At 41.9% G+C, this 19,509-nt stretch overlaps 1 protein-coding gene across 1 annotated transcript in view, besides 1 other annotated feature; it reads left to right on the top strand.

Annotated features, from left to right (window-relative positions):
- The window catches only part of MB21D2 (Mab-21 domain containing 2), a 121,042-nt gene that overhangs the window by 23,988 nt on the left and 77,545 nt on the right, over positions 1 to 19,509 (top strand). The window lies entirely within an intron of this gene.
- Positions 464 to 773: an enhancer, noted in NCBI's record as "active region_20999". NCBI's record gives its function as "activates an Ori minimal core promoter by ATAC-STARR-seq in GM12878 lymphoblastoid cells {active_cell/tissue: GM12878}" and the evidence as "EXISTENCE:reporter gene assay evidence [ECO:0000049][PMID:35858748]".

Below are 19,509 nucleotides of genomic sequence, written 5' to 3'. Positions count from 1 at the left end.
AGATAGGGTCTCTCTATGTTGCCCAGACTGTTTTCAAACTCCTGGCCTCAAGCGATCCTCCCACCGTGGGCCTCCCAAAGTGCTGAGATTACAGACATGAGCCACCCCCCAGCCAGAGGTGGCTCTTTAAAGATGTGGGGGACGGGAATCATGCACTGGTTTCGAAAGGGAGAAAAGTGCTTGGACACGGGGGAATGCCTGGACTGGACCCTGAGAAATGGGCAGTGAAGCCCACCTGAGGCTAAGTGCTAAGTGCTGAGAATTGTTAAGGATGTTTCCCAGATGTTTGAGGAAATGCGATGTTTTCCCATACAGTCAAGGGGTGTTGGCAGCCTTCTTCTGTCACTTACTGTGTCATCTTCAGCTAATCACCTCCTCTTTCTGGCCCTCACTTTCCCCAACTATAAATTGAGGAAATTAGGCTTCCCTTCCTGGTCTGTGATTTTAGGACTCCGTAAGTAGAGTTGCCTCTTACTGATATCAAAACCTGTGTTAGGTAGCTATACTTTTGAAATGATGGGTTAGATGTAGAGATTTGCAGTGGTGGTCGGTTTGAGGGCAGTGATTTATATTTCAAGGAAATGTTTGGAACGCAGTTTCGGTTCTCATTCGAAGAAGTAAAGACGTCATGTCACTTGACACATGGGGAAACCCACATCGCTGGCTGTGGCTCTCAGAAGAGTGACTCATTAAACTCCAGGGGTGCTTTGACCTGCGTTGGGAGGTTGGTAACTTGGCCCCTGCTGCTTTTGGTGGTGCAAAAGCTCTGGGCAGCTGGCTGGGCTGAATGTAACTGCGTCTTGGAAGGCACCAAGGCGGCCCTGAGCAGTTTACATTGACTGTGGAAGCCAAATATTGTCGTGCAAATTAAGTAGGACACCAAAAGGAAAATTCATCTTAATCTTCTTTAAATACTTACTGCTCATTTGCCAAGGTTCTAAGTAATACAATTTCAAAGGTTCAGAGGTGTCTAATACAATTTTCCCCCTTTTGTACATAATTCTATGCCCTTTGTGTAATTCTGTTAGAAACATTAGGGTAATTATAGAGCTACGTTCTGCTTTTCAGTTGCTATAATATTAGCCTGGGTCTGCTCGTACCAGCTGTATTAATAAGCAATGACTATGGCCGGGCGCGGTGGCTCACGTCTGTAATCCCAGCACTTTGGGAGGCCGAGGCAGGCAGATCACCTGAGGTCAGGAGTTCGAGACCGGCCTGGCCAACATGGTGAAACCCCGTCTCTACTAAAAAAATACAAAAAGTAGCCAGGTGTGGTGGCAGGTGCCTGTAATCCCAGCTACTCAGGAGGCTGAGGCAGGAGAATCTCTTGAACCTGGGAGGCAGAGGTTGCAGTGAGCTGAGATCATGCCAGCCTAGGCATCAACAGCGAAACTCTATCCCAAATAAAAATAAAAAAAGCAATGACTGAAGTTTAGCAAACTCCTAAATTAAGACTTTTTCTGAGCCTTTCTCTGTAGCATGTATTTGCTACTAGAGGCAGGCAAGGTCATAACCTAGGGTGAGCTTTGGGTTATTAATTCAAAGACCCAGTGTCTAAATCCTCATCTGTAAAATGGGGACAAAATTATCTGAACTCCCAGTCACTGGATGTGGGGACCAGTGAGCCTGCTGGGTGTGAAAGCACGTTGGGAGCTGAAGATGGACCCTGCCTCACGGGCAGTGGGGGTTGTTATGTAGCACGATTCCTGAAGTGTGGGCCAAAGGAGCTGCCAGTGCCACATGAATTTGTGAGTGGTCGTCATGGGTGTGTGTCATGGAATAGAAGTGTTAATATTTAATATCTGGGCTAATAATTGTAATCATTGTTTGACACAAGAGAATGTACAAGATGATTTTACCCTATGAAGTAAATGAGTTTGTTTTTCTCCATTCTACAAACCAAGCAGTAAAAGTGCAGGTGGGTTAAATAATAGGCCTAAAGTCGAATCAACCATCGGAATGTAATTTGTTAAAACTTTGCCTTTTGTTCACAGCTTTTAGAGTTTTTCTTTTCTCATGGATCACATTTTTGGGAAGGGCTTCCCATCACCTCTATACCAGTAATAACAGCTGACATTTATTGAAGCTTGGTCTGTGCCGACACATTTTACAGATGAGAAAACTGAGCTAGAAATGTTAAGTAGTTTACCAGAGGTCATGTAGCTGGTGTGGAAGACCCATTTAAGTTTTGCTATCTTAATAACAGTAATAAAAGCATTAACATGTATTGGCTGTTTGCTAGGTGCCAGGCATCATGTTAAACAGTGTCATCTAGAACCTCATTTGGTATCACACTAAGCCTGCAAGGGAAGCCCTTGAAAATGTTATGCAGAGGGAGGACTCCTACCATCTCTCTTCTCTTGCAATGGATTTGCAAATACCTTTCTTTTGCCTTTCTTTTACCAGCTTGGAAACAGCAAATTTCCAGTGCCTCTTATGATACCAGCTTTTCCTGCTCTTGTTCTGTTACATTAATTATTTTGTTCTATTTATTAATTATTTTCCTGCTCTTGTTCTATTACATTAATTATTCTAATCCAGATGTTATGAATCGGCTGCCTGCAGTCTGAATTTGGCTTGCAGCCTTGTCCTGTTTCGGCCTTCAATGTATTACAAATGCATGGTTGAATTAGATGGCAATGTCTAAAAATTCAGGTGACCATATGTAAATCTGTATTTATGTTTTCTCATGAAAAATTGCATAATACACCTACCTGTTTGAGATAAAATGACTCACCCAATTAATGTGACCAGAAAACTTCTATAAGAACTTTGTACAAGTCAGAAGATGATGTGTGTTTTGTAGTTTAAATAAGTCTCCCCCTGCGTGGTATTCCTTTTCTTTGAGATAAGCCGCTAAGAAATAGTGAACATGACCTCTAAAAATACAACTCTAGACTGGGGTAGGAGATGTTGCTATCATTTCTTCCCCCACGCAGGATAAACTGAGTTTTTATGAGTAATATTTAAAATCACCATTCTTTCTTCCTCTCCCCATGTCTCTGCGTGGACCTAGTATTTAGGGACTCCTGAGAAGCACGTACATCTTATATCAATAACCGCCTGCCATGGAGGATGTGAGGAGGATCGTTATGACGTAATGCCATATCCTCAGAGCATGTATCATTTTTGCCGAAATTTGTTTGTTTCAAAGGTTTTTAACCAGATAGCACAATCACTTGGCTTCATGGCTTTCAAAATTGATGAGTTTGTACCTGCACAGTCGGGAATGGCAGGGTATGCCAACTGTGAACTTTATAGGTAGGATTTTTTTTTTTTTTTCTGTAATCATTGCTTACAGAACAGATTGCATCAGACTTTTTCTATACCTAGAAAATTATCATGTGGGAAGTTCAGGTTTCGCTTTTGTCCTGATGCCCCATCAGACCTTACAAGCTAAGCCTGCCCCATTCTAAAACCCAGGCTTTCTTTAAAGGACAAGTACAAGCTCTTTGTTTATTTGGTGTCTTGAGTTTCCAAGATATGCTCAAATTATGATTTCCCTAAGTATATTGCCTTGAAAATACCAGGAAAAAAACCTTCTTAGTCTTTTTATTTATGTTGGGAATTTCTCCTGGCATCTGTGATCAGTGCAAATAGATCATCTACACAATGATGAGAATTTCTGTTTGCATATTACCATTAGCTAGTTTTATATACTAAAAATGGACCTACATACCTGTTCTGTGAGGGAAGCAGGGACATGCTCCACTATTTATTGCAAGGAGATATTTTTCCAGAAACACCAGAAGGATGTCAAGAAAAGGTTGCTCTTGGTTCTTGTTTCTGTTATTCTGGGAATAAATAAAGGTAAAAAGAATTGTTTTTTCTGCCTAGCTGTAGTTTCAGAAATGGCATTAGACATGTGTTATTTCTGGAAATCTGTCCTTCACAGTGAAGTCATTTCTGGTGTCTACCGTTGGATTTTTTTTTTCCTAACTGACTAAGCAACACTTTTATTATTTTATTTTGTTAAACGAAGTGTTGACTCTGGATGTGGGTGTTCAGGACCTTAATTCTTTTCTGTTGGAGGTCATTGGACTGAGTTCAGTCCCAGCAGTGATAAGAGTTATAATGTTTTCTTGTTATGTTGCACGCTTTAGAAATAGTTCACAAAACACTTTTCACATCTTTATACTCTGCATACATGGATTTTTCTTGTTTGTTAGGTATTTTGGCTTGGGCTTGAGAGTCACCCTGGAACAAGCCTCTGGAAACTGTATTTACACATTTAAAAACAAAAAAAATCTTCCTGTGATAAACTCTAGGGCCAGCAGAGGTAGGTAGGACCTGGCCTGGGCAAGTGTCTTGTAATTTCCCTAGAGGCTGCAGCCTCAGGGAAATGCTGCTGGAGCTAGGTACAATAAGACTTTTTAAAAAGAATAACACTATCAAGTAAAAATTAAGTATTAATTGCAAAGTTAGAGCTTCAGAGCAAATCAACTTCCTGTAATAAGCAGCCCATTGAATTCTTTTCTGCCAAGAGCTCCTGCTCTCTGGGTCTGTGCATTCCAGCCATTCCAAGCTACTCACCAGTCTGTTCTCACATGCTTCAGTGTCTTAGTTCATTTTTTCCCTTTTTTATGTGTTATAAGTACTCTTTGAAGGTCCAGCCCCAAAACCATCTTAATAGAGAAACCATCTTAATAGAGAACTCCTTAACCCTTTTGTCAGAAGGGTTTCTCTGCCTGCCTGAACTAACTGTATATTTGTGTGTGTATCTGTTTGTTGAATACATCATAAATAGATTTTAATTCTTCTGCCTGGTGACATTTCCACTGGATTGCGTGCTTGCTGAAGGCAGGGACTTGGGTGGGTTCTTTCCATGCTCCTCCCAGTGGCTGGCTCCCTGTCATGCATATGTGAACCATAAGGGGCATGATTTGAGCTGGTAGAGATGATAGAGTCCCTTAGACTCTACCAGAGTCCAGATCGCACCACTGCACTCCAGCCTGGGTGACAGAGCTGGACTCTAGATAGCTTGGTCTGGAGTTCACAGGTCAAAGAGGGTAGCACCTTCTCCTTTACATCATTCTGCTGAAAGAAGCTAAGAATTAACATTTTAGGAAAAATACTTGCAAAGAGGGGAGGGATTTAGTGAGTAAAGACTCAATAAATAAAATACCTTAGTGACAGAATGTTTTAGGTGAAATAAGTCATATAAACTGCTTCGTGCTCACCTCGAAAGCACAATAAATGGGAGCTGTATGATCATATGGTAAGAGCTTAAGAATTGTCAGTGATAATCCCTGTCCTGTAGGCATTCATAGTCTACCAGATAATAGAGCATTTCTCTGAGGACGGAAGACTTTGGTTAAGTCAACCTGACAACCATAAAACATTAGAGGAAATAACTGTATTTTGTGGATAAGATTTTCTATGGGTAGAAATTCTTCTTTTGATTCTTCAGAGATGTTGATGGTTGCTTAGGAGCGCGCGTGCTTTAATGAATGTTATTTCTTTAATGGAATTTACTAGAGCTTCCAAGATATACTGCGTTTAACCTTCTTATAGTTTGTTAATGATTCCCAGCTCTTGCCTGGGCCTCTGCACTTTGGCTTCTGGATGTGTTTCTTTGGCTTAGTCATTACTTAATAGATTGAGGAGGAGAATCTTTCAGGGCATTAGATTTTCATGGCTATTTAAGGAGTTCAGATTTAAGTGTAAGGCTGGAATAAAGCTGATTGCTAGGAGGTTTTTGTATGATGCTCTCCATTTTAGAGGTTCTCACTAAGTGGATAGTGATGCCTGGTGCTGGGGTGCAAAGGAGCCGGGAGACTTTTTCCCAGAACGGAGGAGCAGTGTTGGTGCCCTTCTAGTCCCCAGATATGCAATTTAAATAAAGCCTTGCTAGATTCTCCCCTTGCAAATGCTTGCAGCCTACGCGTCCCCTGTTGCCTTGTTCCTCAGTATGGGACCCGTGAACCAGCACCAGCACCTGGGAGCTTGTTTGAAGTGCAGCATTTCAGGCCCCACCCAAGCCTTACTGAAGAGAAACTGCATCTCCACAAGGTCCCAGGGTGACTCAGATGCACATTCAAGTTTGAGAAGCAGTGTCCCTTCTAGAACTGCAAAAGGTAAAGCAGATCTTAGGGCTGCTAGCGTTCAAAAAATAGGATGCTTTTTATTTTTACGTAAGAGCAAAGCAACCTGTTAGTAAAGGGAAAAAATATTTTTTGTTGGGCTAAGCCATTATTTAAAACTTTATTTTGGAACTTCAAACATATAAAAATAGAGACTGGTATAATGAACCCCCATATACCTTTGTTTTTTCTGTAACCTCTACCCCACCGTGGATTATTTTAGATCAAACCTAGACGTATAATTTATCCCTAAATATATCTTTTTCCTTTTTTTGAATATTGTGGTAAAATACACATAGCATAAAATTACGATCTTCACAGTTTCTAAGTGTACAGTTTAGTAGTGTTAAGTACGTTCACATTTTTGTGCAATCAATTTCAAGAACTCTTTTCATCTTGTAAAACTGAAACTGTATAAATATTAAGCAACGTCTTTTTTCCTTTTGAACATACCATTTTCACTCTTCAAGAAAAGTTAACAATAGTTGGGTGTGGTGGCGTGTTCCTGCAGTCCTGGAGGCTGAGGTAAGAGGGTTGCTTGAATCCAGCAGTTTGAGGCTGCAGTGAGCTACGATGACATCACTGCACTTCACCCTGGGAAACAGAACGAGACTTTGTCTCTTAAAAAGTAAAGTTCATTGATATCGTCAAATGTCTGGTTAGTGTTCACATTTCCCAGAGTGGACAAAGAAACCGAAGAATTTGGTTCAGCGTCTTCTCGAAATGAATTGGTAGCCCTGTTTGTATAGTGAAGAATCTAGGGACAGTGGCGAAAGTGGGGATTTTTTTTTTTTCCTTTCCTTAACTTACAGCTTGACAGGATTTTAAATGAAGACTTTGTAATTTCCAGTCTTCTAATTTCAGAAAACAGAGTTTTACAGTAGAAGAACATGGACTTATGGATGAGAATGGAATCTGAATTAGTCATTGCTTCTTAGAATCAGGCAAGATATTTACTCTTTCGTTATTTTAGGTAAAAAGGTACTGTGAAAATTGAATTAAATTGGAATTAATGAACTAGAGTTATATTTCCAGCAAAGGTAAAATTCAAAAACGTAAGGGTTAGAAAAGCAAGTTGTAGAATGACTAGTACATGACACCATTTATTGAATGTTAAACAATAGTATAAATTGCTTATGAATCACACATATGGTAGAAGTATGAAATGTGCTTTAGAGTGACACACTCGTATTTCAGGATAGTAGTCATCTCTCTAAATGACAGCAGAGTGGAATGGAATAACTGTATCTGTAGCTTTCTTTTTTAAATTATTATTCAAAAGCCCGAAGGAAATGTAGCAAAGTGTCAAGATTTGCTAAAGGTGGCTGATGGATAAATGAGTACTCGTGGTATTAATTCTGTTGTGTGTTTGGAAATACTACAAGGGAAATACCTTAAGAAAACTAGTCAACGTACGTGAAAATATTTTGTAAACTCAAGTACTCAAGAATGTTAGCAAGTATGATTTTTATTTATACTCCCATCTCATCACAAAACAATGGAGACTTTGTCAAAAATTATAAAAATAGACCAGGTGCGGTGACTCACGCCTGTAATCCCAGCACTTTGGGAGGCCAAGGCGAGTGGATCACGAGGTCAGGAGTTCAAGACCAGCCTGACCGAGATGGTGAAACCCTGTCTCTACTAAAAATACAAAAATTAGCCGGGCATGGAGGTGGGCGCCTGTAATCCCAGCTACTTGGGAGGCTGAGGCAGAGAATTGCTTGAACCCGGGAGGCGGAGGTTGCAGTCAGCCGAGATCGCGCCACTGTACTGCAGCCTGGGCGACAGAGTGAGACTTCATCTCCAAAGAAAAAAAAATTATAAAAATAATTGAACTAGTGGGGTTTAAAGACGTAAGGAAAATAATTAAAAAGAGCCATTTGTGATGTGTGTGGGATTGTCCAAAATTTGAATACGCTTTCTGTTCATCACTTTAGACTCAGGTGAAGTTCCAAAGAGTTAATAATGGTGGGCCATGGTCATTTTTGTTTTTATTGGAATTTATAGTTCTCCTGCTTCCAAGGAAGATTTGAGGTGGCAGAGTCCCAGCTTGCTGTGGCCTTGTGGCCCTGAAAGTATCTTCTACTCAGAGAGCCTGCACATTGCCCTGTCATTTGTGCCTGTCCCTCTCTAGGCAGCACTACTTCAGAGCCATCTGAGACGAATGGTGGTTTTAAAGATGATTGAGAAGGAGCTTCTTGGAGCTTCTTAGAGGACTGTTGTGTGTTTAATTACCTTTTCCCGTAGGCTGTAGGAAAACTCCCCACTTCGGAGTTTTCCTGCTGTGCATGTGGAGGCAACTGATCAGTTCTCATTATAATAATCCTTGCCTAGAGGGTGTGATAAAGGTCACAAATTTGATATTTATTCATGAGTAGAGGACTGAAACCCATCACTGTAGATGTACTTTCTGGCAATGGAGAAGATTTGGGATTTTAAATCAAAGAGCATGTCGTGGGAGTGGAGAGCAGAAATATTGTTAATTAAGCCACGTTGACAGAAATGATAGAATTTATCTTGCCAAGAGTTTAAATAATGTGCAATTTATGCAGGTTGTCTATATCAAGATCTCTTAGTTGTGGATGTTTTATTGTTAGTAATTAAATTGGGCTTACAATGTAGTCACATCCGGTATCTGAAGATAGCTTGAAGTCTGTCTTTAGTCTAACCCTTGCTATTATGATTTCATTTCCCTCACAGAACCAATTTTTGTCCTCTTAGTCATATTTATTGCTCTTACCTCAATTCTCAAATATCTCTAATCTTCCAGAAACATATATAATTATCTTTTAAGGGTCTGAATTGTGCCAGATGTAGCAGAAGAATTGCTTCCTGGCTCTTGCATGACACTAAATCTTTTTGTATCAGATTTTACCTCTGTAGAATAGGAATGACACTCTGTCCTTTCCTGAGTGATTCATGGATTTGTCCACGTATTCAGATATTTATTGGGCTCCTCTTATGTGTAGGGTGCTGTGGTGGGTGTCATGAGGAAGGCAGGCGTGGAAAGGGGACAGTTGTACACATGTGTGCATGTGAATAGAGAAAAAGAGGCTCCATTCAGCCTCAGATTTTCTGTTTGACTTTGATCAGGATGGAACAAGACATGCACCTCTGGCCGGGTGCGATGGCTCACGCCTGTAATGCCAGCACTTTGGGAGGCCAAGGCGGGCAGATCACGAGGTCAGGAGATCAAGACCATCCTGGCTAACACGGTGAAACCCCGTCTCTACTAAAAAATACAAAAAATTAGCCGGGCGTGGTGGCGGGCGCCTGTAGTCCCAGCTACTCGGGAGGCTGAGGCAGGAGAATGGAGTGAACCCGGGAGGCGGAGCTTGCAGTGAGCCTAGATCGCGCCACTGCACTCCAGCCTGGGTGACAGAGCAAGACTCCGTCTCAACAACAACAACAAAAAAGACATGCACCTCCACCTACCTGAGTCTCCAACACTATTGAAGTTCACTTCAATTTCAGTTGCCATATAGTTAAAAGGGAGAGAGGATTAGTGCAGAATTAAAGAATGATTTACAATGTTTGAATGGTGGAGAAGTTAAGGAATGATAGGTTTAGAATGTAAACAATAGTAATGAAGGAAATGCAGGAAAATGCAGTTTTACATCACCACGTCAACACTGGACCCTAACTTTGAAAGGTAGGGGAATGTCCCATCTGATATACGCCCATGCCAAGGGCTTCGGACATGGCTTTTCATGTGTGTGAATCTAACTGGTTTTGACTCATGTTCACCTACTTTGCTGTGACAAGGAGCCTCAGATGCTGAGAGTCAACCATAGAAACAGATCAAGCTTGAGAGGGTTGTGAGATTTGATCTAGATTTGATGGTTGCCTTCAGGCAGCAACACCACTATTAATAGAACTTATTTTTTTATTTTAAATTGACTAAAAGACTCCCCTGTTTCTGGCAGTGAGATGTCTCTAAAGGGGAATCAAGGAAGCCAGAATGAAGGTGATTTAAGCCTCAGATCAGGGAACTATTTAATAGTTATGTATCTTTGGAGCTAGAAACTAGCTTTCAGAGGGAGGTGACTCTCCTAGTATTACAGAGGCATTCCTGGGACTGGAATGCTGATCTTTTGGTCTACTGATCCCACCGAACTCTGTTGTCACAGAGATACAACTACAACTACTGGATCATGTTTCCAGATACCTTCTAATGGATCGTTTCCTTTTCCCCATTCTTTCAGATAATTGTCAAGGATTTATATTCCTGGCAATAAACAGAAAACCTAGTTATAAACTAAGCTAAAAGCCATGTTTAAAATTCCCTACGCTTCAGCCACTGTCAATAGCTGTCTTCCACACTACCATTTTTAACCTAAAATATAAATGTTTATGTATATGTTTTACTCTCATGCTATGCTACAAACTAGATCTTCTTTTCTTATGTTTTTCTTGTCAATAGATAATTTTTAAAAAGTTTTAAACATGACTCATACAAATATAAAATGAGTACATGGCAAAGATGTATTTAACTCGTTAATGAGGGAACCAGTAGGAAGCTAAAGTGGTTCAAAGAGCATTTGAGGAGCTGTGTAGTTAATAGGCCCTGAAGAATACCGGCACAAGATTGCTAGGTTAGATATGAAACTGGTCAGGCTGGGCACGGTGGCTTACACCTGTCGTCCCAGCACTTTGGGAGGCCGAGACGGGTGGATTACCTGAGATCAGGAGTTTGAGACCAGCCTGGCCTACATGGTGAAACCCCATCTCTACTAAAAATACAAAAATTAGCCGGGCGTGGTGGCTCATGCCTGTAATCCCAGCACTTTGGGAGGCTGAGGTGGGTGGATTACCTGAGGTCAGGAGTTCGAGACCAGCCTGGCCAACATGGCAAAGCCCCATCTCTACTAAAAATGCAAATTAGCTGGGTGTGGTGGTGGGCACCTGTAGTCCCAGCTACTCGGGAGGCTGAGGCAGGAGAGTCACTTGAACCTAGGAGGTGAAGGTTGCAGTGAGCCAAGATCGTGCCATTGCACTCCATCCTGGGTGACAAAAGTGAAACTCCGTCTCAAAGAAAAAAAAAGGAAACTGGTTGATGTCCTGTAGGGCAGTAAACCAATCACATCTGGGGATCTTAGTTCTACCAGGCAGAGAAATTATATACATCTAAAATGGATAAAAATCTCAGTTAACATGTAACTTCATAAAGTCTGAACCATAACCAATGGTAAACAGTCAGTGAAACACAGGTACATCATCTCCTAGAGAATCAGATGACCCTTGGGTGCACCTATGAGACAGTACACCAGTATGGCATTGAAAGGACATGCTGCCTTCCTTTTGCCTTATTTCCAAGTGTTGCATAGTGTTTTGTCTTATCCTTAGTGTCACTGCCTTTAGCAAAGGAGCATATACGTTCATTCATTTGGCCATTTTGTTTAATAATGTGCGGGGCGCAGTGGCTCATGCCTGTAATCCCAGCACTTTGGGAGGCCAAGTCAGGCAGATCACCTGAGGTCGGGAGTTCGAGACCAGCCTAACCAACATGGAGAAACCCCATCTCTACGAAAAATACAAAATTAGCAGGAGAATCGCTTGAACCCAGGAGGTGGAGGTTGCAGTGAGCCAAGATTGTGCCATTGCACTCTAGCCTGGGCATCAAGAGTGAAACTCCGTCTAAAAAAAAAAATTACTAAATGTCAGTTTTGTGCCAAGTCTTAGGTTAGGCATTAGACATACATAACTGAATGAGACAGACGACCCTTGCCCTCAAGGAGTTCAGAGGCTATTCCGTCCTATAAAGGAAGTAGCCAGGCAAGAGTTCCCTTTAGGAAATGTTCTTTTGTGGGATAAGCAAGAGGAATCATCCTTTTTGGTTCACAGTTCCTTTGGATCCCAATGTTTATAAGACTGGGATAAAATGCAAATATCACAGAGAATGACAACCAGAGTTCAATACTTTTGGGGACAAGAACAGATAAACATTGATGCCGCTTCGTTTTGCTCATGTGGCATTTATAGCTCCCTAGTGATACAATTTCACAGGAATTTTGTGTTAGCCATCTGACCTGATGGGCCCTCTTTGGCCAGTGCCGCCAGGTTTCTCCAGAAGCCTTCCTTTCTTGGCCTCCACAGGTACCGAATAGCTTATTTCTCTTGGTTTGGCCAGTTTGTGACATAAGCTTCTGCAGCTTCTGAGACAAACACCTGCCAGCGAGGGTGCTCTTTCCCCAGAAGGGTTGTGGTAACTGGTAGACAGCTCAAACTTCGTAGCGGTCAGTACAGTTTTCTTACAGCAAAGCTATACGTTTAGGGTATTTTGTGTGTGTGTCAGTTAAATTTAGCTTCTCATTACCAAAAATAATGGGGAGGGAAGGTGGCTGACATTTGTTTTAGAACCATAAAACATCGAGCTGGAAGGAGCCACAGAGATCTTCTAGTTTCCCCTGCCCCAGAAACAGAGCTACAGAGCAACCAGTCAGTCATTAGCCTATGTCCTCCTGGTGATTCACTGTTGGGTCCAAGACTTTTGTCTAGTTTTGGGGTCCTTCCTCCATAATGGTGGTTCTCAGCTGGATTCATGGGTGGGATATAGAAGTCCTCCAGAGGGGATAAAGGATGCTTTTGTTTTAAGTTTATATCTTTGTTTCTGTTTACAAAGATAACTTGCTACCAAAAAATGCAATTAATACTGAAGGATATTAAGATGAAAGCAAAATCTTTCTGAAATCATAGCACCTAGAGATAATTACTGTGAACAATTTTTGGAACATCCAGATCATCTTCTATATAAATACATACATCTATATGTATTTATATATAGATGTGTATATAAATATATATGTTTGTGTGTACATTCTTTATAATTTTCAGTAAGTGGGAAGAGCAAAATTTTCTTGCAATTGATTTTTCTATAATCTGAAAAATGATTGTCATCTTAAGCACTAATGAAAATATTTCCTATTGGTTTATATTTTATTCATATTAGTAAATTCCCAGTAACATAACTTAAACTTTTAATCTTCTTAAACTTCACTGTAAATCTAAAGACAGGTTATGTCTTTGGAACAGGTGGATGTGCTAACTGCAGAGATGTGCCACCCTGGCTCCCTCTGGGGGAGGGCTTGCTGACAGTTACAGGTGGTGCACTCTGCAGACAGCCTCTTGCTAGCTGTCAGCTCCTTGAGAGTCCGTCCCCTCCGACAGCTGCTCGCCCTAGGCCGTGCTTTTCCTGGGGGACTCACATCTGGAGACATCTGGTGACAGGCAAGGTTGGAGTATGAAGGCTCACTGGACGCCAGACACCCCGTTGAGGCTTTGGTGGGTTGCTTTCTCTGCCTCATCCTGCTTCCTCCTCCTTCCTTTAAAAGGATAGTTCTTCTAATAAATATCTTGAACCCCAGACTTTGTCTCAGCATCTGCTTCTGAAGAATCCAACCTGAAACAGTGGATTTTATTTTATTTTATTTTTTTCTGAGATGGATTCTCACACTGTCACCCAGGCTGGAGTGCGGTGGTGCAATCTCGGCTCACTGCAACCTCCGTCTCCTGGGTTCAAGCGATTCTCCTGCCTCAGCCTCCGGAGTAGCTGGGATTACAGGTGCCCACCACCACGCCTGGCTAATTTTTTTTTGTATTTTTAGTAGAGACAGGGTTTCACTATGTTGGTCAGGGTGGTCTCAAACTCCTGATCTTGTGATCTGCCTGCATCGGTCTCCCAAAGTGCTGGGATTACAGACGTGAGCCACTGCGCCCGTCCTTATTGTTTGTTTCTGAAGTGGTTTAGTAGCCACTGGTGAGGCAAGAAATCCTGCCATTTCTCTTGCTGGAGTAGTCCTGGGAGCTGGTAGAATCCTGGGGAGCTGAGGATCTGCCAGTCCATTCCTCTTCTCAGAGTGAGCTCATCCTCTCCTTGTCTACTCCTTGTCAGAGGTTTGGCATTTGAGGAATTTGGCCTTGGGCAAGGTGCTGAAGCTGACTGCTTTGTGGTTTTAAGGGAAAGCTTAAAAGATTTTCTCGCTATGGGTATTCTCTGCAATAAAAATCCATTTTAATTGTTTATGACATTAATCAATGAAAGATTTATCTGCTTTGGGAGAAATTTCTCTAGAACAGTTGAAAGCTTCTGCCTAAAAGTTGATTAAGAGAGATTTTTCTTCTTTGGCCTCCAACGGATACCCCCTTCTCTGCCCCTCCCTGCTTCCAACCTGCCACTTAATGGTGTCTTCTGTGAAGCCCTCTGTGTACAGCCTCTCCAATCACTTTTTAATTTCCAGGGGAAATCGTAATCTCACTAATCACCTAGAAAGGAATGTGGAGATGGGAGTATGAAGGACGCAGTTCAGGCCTTGAGGCCCAGCGGGCGTTTGTTTTAGTCACCGCATTTGCTCAAATGCTTTGTGCCCGTGGTTAATGCTGGGGAGTATTGGTGGACCCTGCCTCTCTGTCTCTCAGAGTCCCCTTGGAGACCTTCACTCTTCACTTCAAGGCTGTGTGTGCTGCCCAGCTCTGGTGCTGGTGACATCAGTGGAAAGAGAGCCACAGGTGCTGTCTGGTCCCTCGGAATCTCTTCTCTTTATTATAAAGTACCGCTGGAGGCAGAGAAAGAGATTTTTGAGCTTTCCTTCTAGCCCACAAAGCTCAGTTTTATTTGGAGCTTTTAACCTTGAGCCTTAGCCAGCCCCTGATGTGTGGATTTTAGAATCAGTGTGAATTTTAGGGAGATAGGGAAGGCCTGCAGAAGTTTGACCACTGCTTCTTGAGCACCTCTTGCTGTCTTTTTCTTTTTGAGGAGGGTGGGGGCTCCTTTAGAATTATGCTGGCATGGTGATTCTTTTTTCTTCTTCTTCTTTTTTTGAGAGACAGAGTGTCCCTCCATAGCCCAGGCTGGAGTGCAGTGGCACAGTCTTGACTCACTGCAAACCCCACATCCCGGGTTCAAGCAATTCTCCTGCCTCAGCCTCCCCAGTAGCTGGGATTACAGGCATGCACCACCACGTCCAGCTAATTTTTGTATTTTTAGTAGACACCAGGTTTCACGACGTTGGCCAGGCTGATCTCGAAATCCTGACCTCAAGCGATCCGCTCGCCTTGGCCTCCCAAAGTGCTGGGATTATAGCCATGAGCCACTGCAGCCTGCTCTTCAGCACAAAACACCCATCCCATGGCTAGCATGTTGCCGAGGACCGAAAAGTAGAATTGTGATCTTCACAGTCAGGTCCGCAAGACTTAGCTTATAGAAATGCTGACACATTCAAAGTCCTCACTTGCTTAATGGATGTTTTTTAGGGCTATAAAAAAGTTAATTTTTCATGAAAGGGCAAACTAGACCAGAAGATGCTGCTGAATAAGTCTTTATTCTATTGAAAGTAATAGGCAAAAACCTAATACCATAGAAATTGCTAAGCTTTTTATTTCTTCTCCAATTTTCTCTCTAAGGGGAGAGAGGTCTATAAAGGCGTTCATCTGTGTCCACTTTTTAAATGACTTAGTCCTGCCACTGAATTTGCCTGGGGGAAGAGAACTCATAAGTAGATAATACACCATGGAGTCAAGCCTTTTGAAGTCATTTTGTCGCTCTCTCCTTTTTTTTGGGTGTTGAGGTGAGGATAAGAGGAGGGCGTGAACCCGCGAGGCGGAGCTTGCAGTGAGCCGAGATTGCGCCACTGCACTCCAGCCTGGGCGACAGAGCGAGACTCCGTCTCAAAAACAAAAAAAACCAAAAAAAAAAAAAAAAAAAAGAGGAGGAATTGTTTGAAGATGTTTCGTACGGGCCGTTCCTGCCTAGTATATGGCTTCTCCCACCGTTGCTGCCTCTCAGTGTTTCTTTTTCTTTTTTTTTTTTCTTTTTCAATAACAGGTTCATGTGAAAGGAGGGTAATGATTTATTTGGGAACCCCAAATCTTTAACTACTTGTATCTTTGGCCCTTTCAAGTTCTGACAACAGAAATGCCCATCAGAATTTAGACGTGGCAACTTCTGGAGACAGAGATGCGCAGAGCACATATATCAGTCTGCAGTACTTGCATGTGAGTTTGCTAGATCCTCAGCCCCAATCTGAGTAATTTGGTGTCACTAAGCTATTACTTATTCATAAAGACACGTTGGATAGGAGTTTGAGCTAGATTCCTTGAGCTGAGTAACTACAGATACATGTTGTACAGTATATATGTCAAATATATAATTATGATTATACAGTACACCATGGGAAAACCTCTAGATGAGGTCTTGTGGGAGGACAGTGAGATGACTGTAGAGTCACTGACACTGGTGGCCAAGGAGGCCATTGTGGATGAGTTGATATACGCGATGGGCAGAGCTCAGGGTAGAGGACTGGCATGAACAAAAATTCAGATATTGTTAAAGGATACGCATGACCTGTGTGGTGAAGGGTAACTAGTTTGAAATGGTTCTGAACACTCAAAATGATTGTCAGATTTTATTATTTGGAAGTTCAACTTCATATTTTCCTCAAATTATGACCTAGATGTGAACTTTTTTGTTTTTGGTTTGTTTTAATGAGCTCAGAATCATCTTGAATGATTTGAGAGGGTAATACAGTTTAAATACAACATAGGAGATGGTAATCTCCAGGAATTTCTTCTATCTTTTAAGTTACATAAACTAAGAAAGTATGTGTTCAGCCAAGGTTTCTGTGGAATCCTTCAGGCCCTGGCTAACACAAATCCTGTTGTAGTACGGGGTCTTGGGATTGCTTAGAAATCCATTGTTTTTCTTCCGTTCCTTTCTTCCTGTTTCTCTCCTTCTCTTTCATACATTCCACCCATAAGCCTGTATTAATTACTCACTGTGGACTCAGGCGCTGTTCTAGAATCTGGAAATAAACTCGAGGGCAGAGGGTGGCTCATCATTTCACTCAACCAGCGGACTATTAGAATTCTGGGTATTAAATAGCGGGTGCCACAGGAGCACATAGGAAGAGCATCCAACCTACTTTGGAGCCCTGAGGAGTTTTTAGAGAAAGCTGGAGCCCGAAGGACCAGTAGTAGGAGGTAGCCAGACCAAAAGGGAGGAAGGAGTGGGAAAGAAAGAGCACTGTAGCCAGAGAACATATTATGTTCAAAGGCCATGAACCCAGGGAAAACATGGCTCCTGGGGGAGCCACAGGAAGCTTAGTATAACTAGGGAAGTGGCAAGAATTGAGAGGGAACAGGGGCTAGATCATAAAGCATCAGCCTCAGGATGTAGGGCGCTATCCTAAGGGCAACATCTATTGCAGCGTTTTAAGTGGGGAAGTGAAATGCCCTTTTGGAAGACCAACCACTGTGGCTACAAGGTTGAGAAGCGGTGGAATGGACTAACAAAGAAGACCAGTTAGGAAAGTGTTGCAATAGTCCAGGAGAAAGGATTGTTGCAGTAATCCAGGAAGCCTGAACTGGAGTAAGAGCAGCAATTATGGAGAAAACTAGACAGATTCTAGAGATAATTAGAAGGCAAAGTGAGCAGAGTTGTTTTGATGTGGGTTGTAAGGACAAAGGCAGAAATAAATTCAAGATGACAGCCATGTTTCTGTCTTGGGTGCAAGAACGGGTGGTGGAGTCATTCTCAGAAAAGGACTACAGAGAGCCAAAGGAAGCAAGTTTCAGGATGAGATAGAGTTTTGGCACTGGGGCTGCTGAGTTGGCAGTGCCTGGGGGAGCATCCGAGGAATTTTACTGACTTTCTACCATTGCCATTGGATGTCTTAACACTAGAGGTAGTGAGCATAAAAGTGTCAGAACTGTGGGGATTTGTGGTTTGGCAAGGGACCTTTAATTTACACATGAGGAAAGGACTCTAGAGAGGTGGAGTAACTGGCTTAGGGGCACATAGGTACATCCTGGTTAATCTGGGACAAGTACCTACGTCTTCAGCATCTGTCTAGGAGTACTTCCACTTCTATTGTTGGTTTAGTAACCTCTAAAAAAACATGTAGAAATGAGTGTATGTAGCCATGTCGTCCCTTGCTTGGGAAGAACTGCTGATAATAAAAATGTGGGGCCATAAATCTCATTTGATTCCACCTGCCCTGTCTTAACATGATTATGGCAACTTTGTTAGGCAAATGGTTGCTTAACACTGTGGAAAGTCTTAATTACTCTTTAATAGCTATGTACAGAGGGAAAGTGTTAATATTTAATCATGTTATTGTCTCTAAAAAAATTTAGTACTCCATTTGTACATCCATTAAATATATAAATGCATATTTGCTACATTTCCATTTCATTCCAGATTTCAGGGACACAAAATATTTTCTTTTTAAATTATTATTGCTGTATAAACATAGCGAATTTAATGAAAAATTAAAATTAAAAAATCCACCTACAGTCTTTCTAAAACAACAACAACAACAAGAAAAATTCAAGCTTTATGTTCTTTTCATCCTTTTCTCTACGCATCCATGTGGCAATCCTGGTTTACATTCTCTTTTCTGTTTTCTTTCACCATATATTTTACCATGCCGTTTATTCATCCATTCATCCATTCGTGCAGCAAACAGCAGAGTATCTTCTAGATGCCAGGTAATCTGAAGGATGTTAGGGTTTACAGCAGTGTCAGTCCTCAGGAAGCTGACATTTGGAGAGTAGGGGAATGGCTGCATGCACAACACATTACATAAGTAATAAATGATGTCTAATAAAAATGGTAATGGAGGCAGCAAACATGGTGTAGCATGGTCTTTCCATGTTGTGGATGTAACATAACTGCTTTCCGTTTGTTAAACACTGTATCAGTCGGGGTCTCAGTAGAAGATAGGTGGCACACCCAAATTAGGATAAATAGAAGAGTTTTTTGTTTTTTTTTTAATAGGGACAGTTTACAAAGGTGTAGTTAGGGTGAAAGGAAACCACCTAGATGGTGCGTCTTCAGTGCAGTGACTGTAAAGCACCCCTAGACCTAACAGCCAGGGGAGGGGGAGATTTCTGAAACCCTGAGGATCATTTGGTAGAACGGATGCTTTGAGAGACTGGTTGAGGAAAGCAGCCATCCCAACTGACCTTGCAGAGGAGTTAGGAGAATAAATGCTCCAAGCTTATGTTCCTGTCTTCCTCAAATCTTTCTCTGTTTTTCTGCTGTGCTCCCCACTGGCTGGACGCTACTAGAAACCAGCAAGCAATAGAGTCTCCATGCAGTCCATAGAGGTCAGCTTTCCAGGGCAAGGAGCTGGGAGGAAGCGAATATGAAGGGGCACACAGGATATCCAGCACAGACAGTCCATATAAAGTTATTTTTAAGGGCGTTTTGACAGGAAGCACTGGATAAGCAACTATACATACAGGATAATAAAGTAAGTGGTGGGGATAGGGCTGGAATTGGGAAACTGGGAATTAGTGACATCGTTTAGGTAAATTTTGATGTTTGTGGATGCATTTGTTTTTAAACATAAGACAGTGTGAGGTTTCATTAGTGTATCAGCTTAGGTTTTGTAATGTATCCTAGTCATTGTTAGTGATAGAGCTT

This window comes from Homo sapiens, chromosome 3 (genome assembly GCF_000001405.40).
Source record: "Homo sapiens chromosome 3, GRCh38.p14 Primary Assembly".
Taxonomy (NCBI): domain Eukaryota; kingdom Metazoa; phylum Chordata; class Mammalia; order Primates; family Hominidae; genus Homo; species Homo sapiens.
The sequence above is the reverse complement of the archived record's forward strand: the minus strand, read 5'-3'. Positions and strand labels throughout refer to the sequence as shown.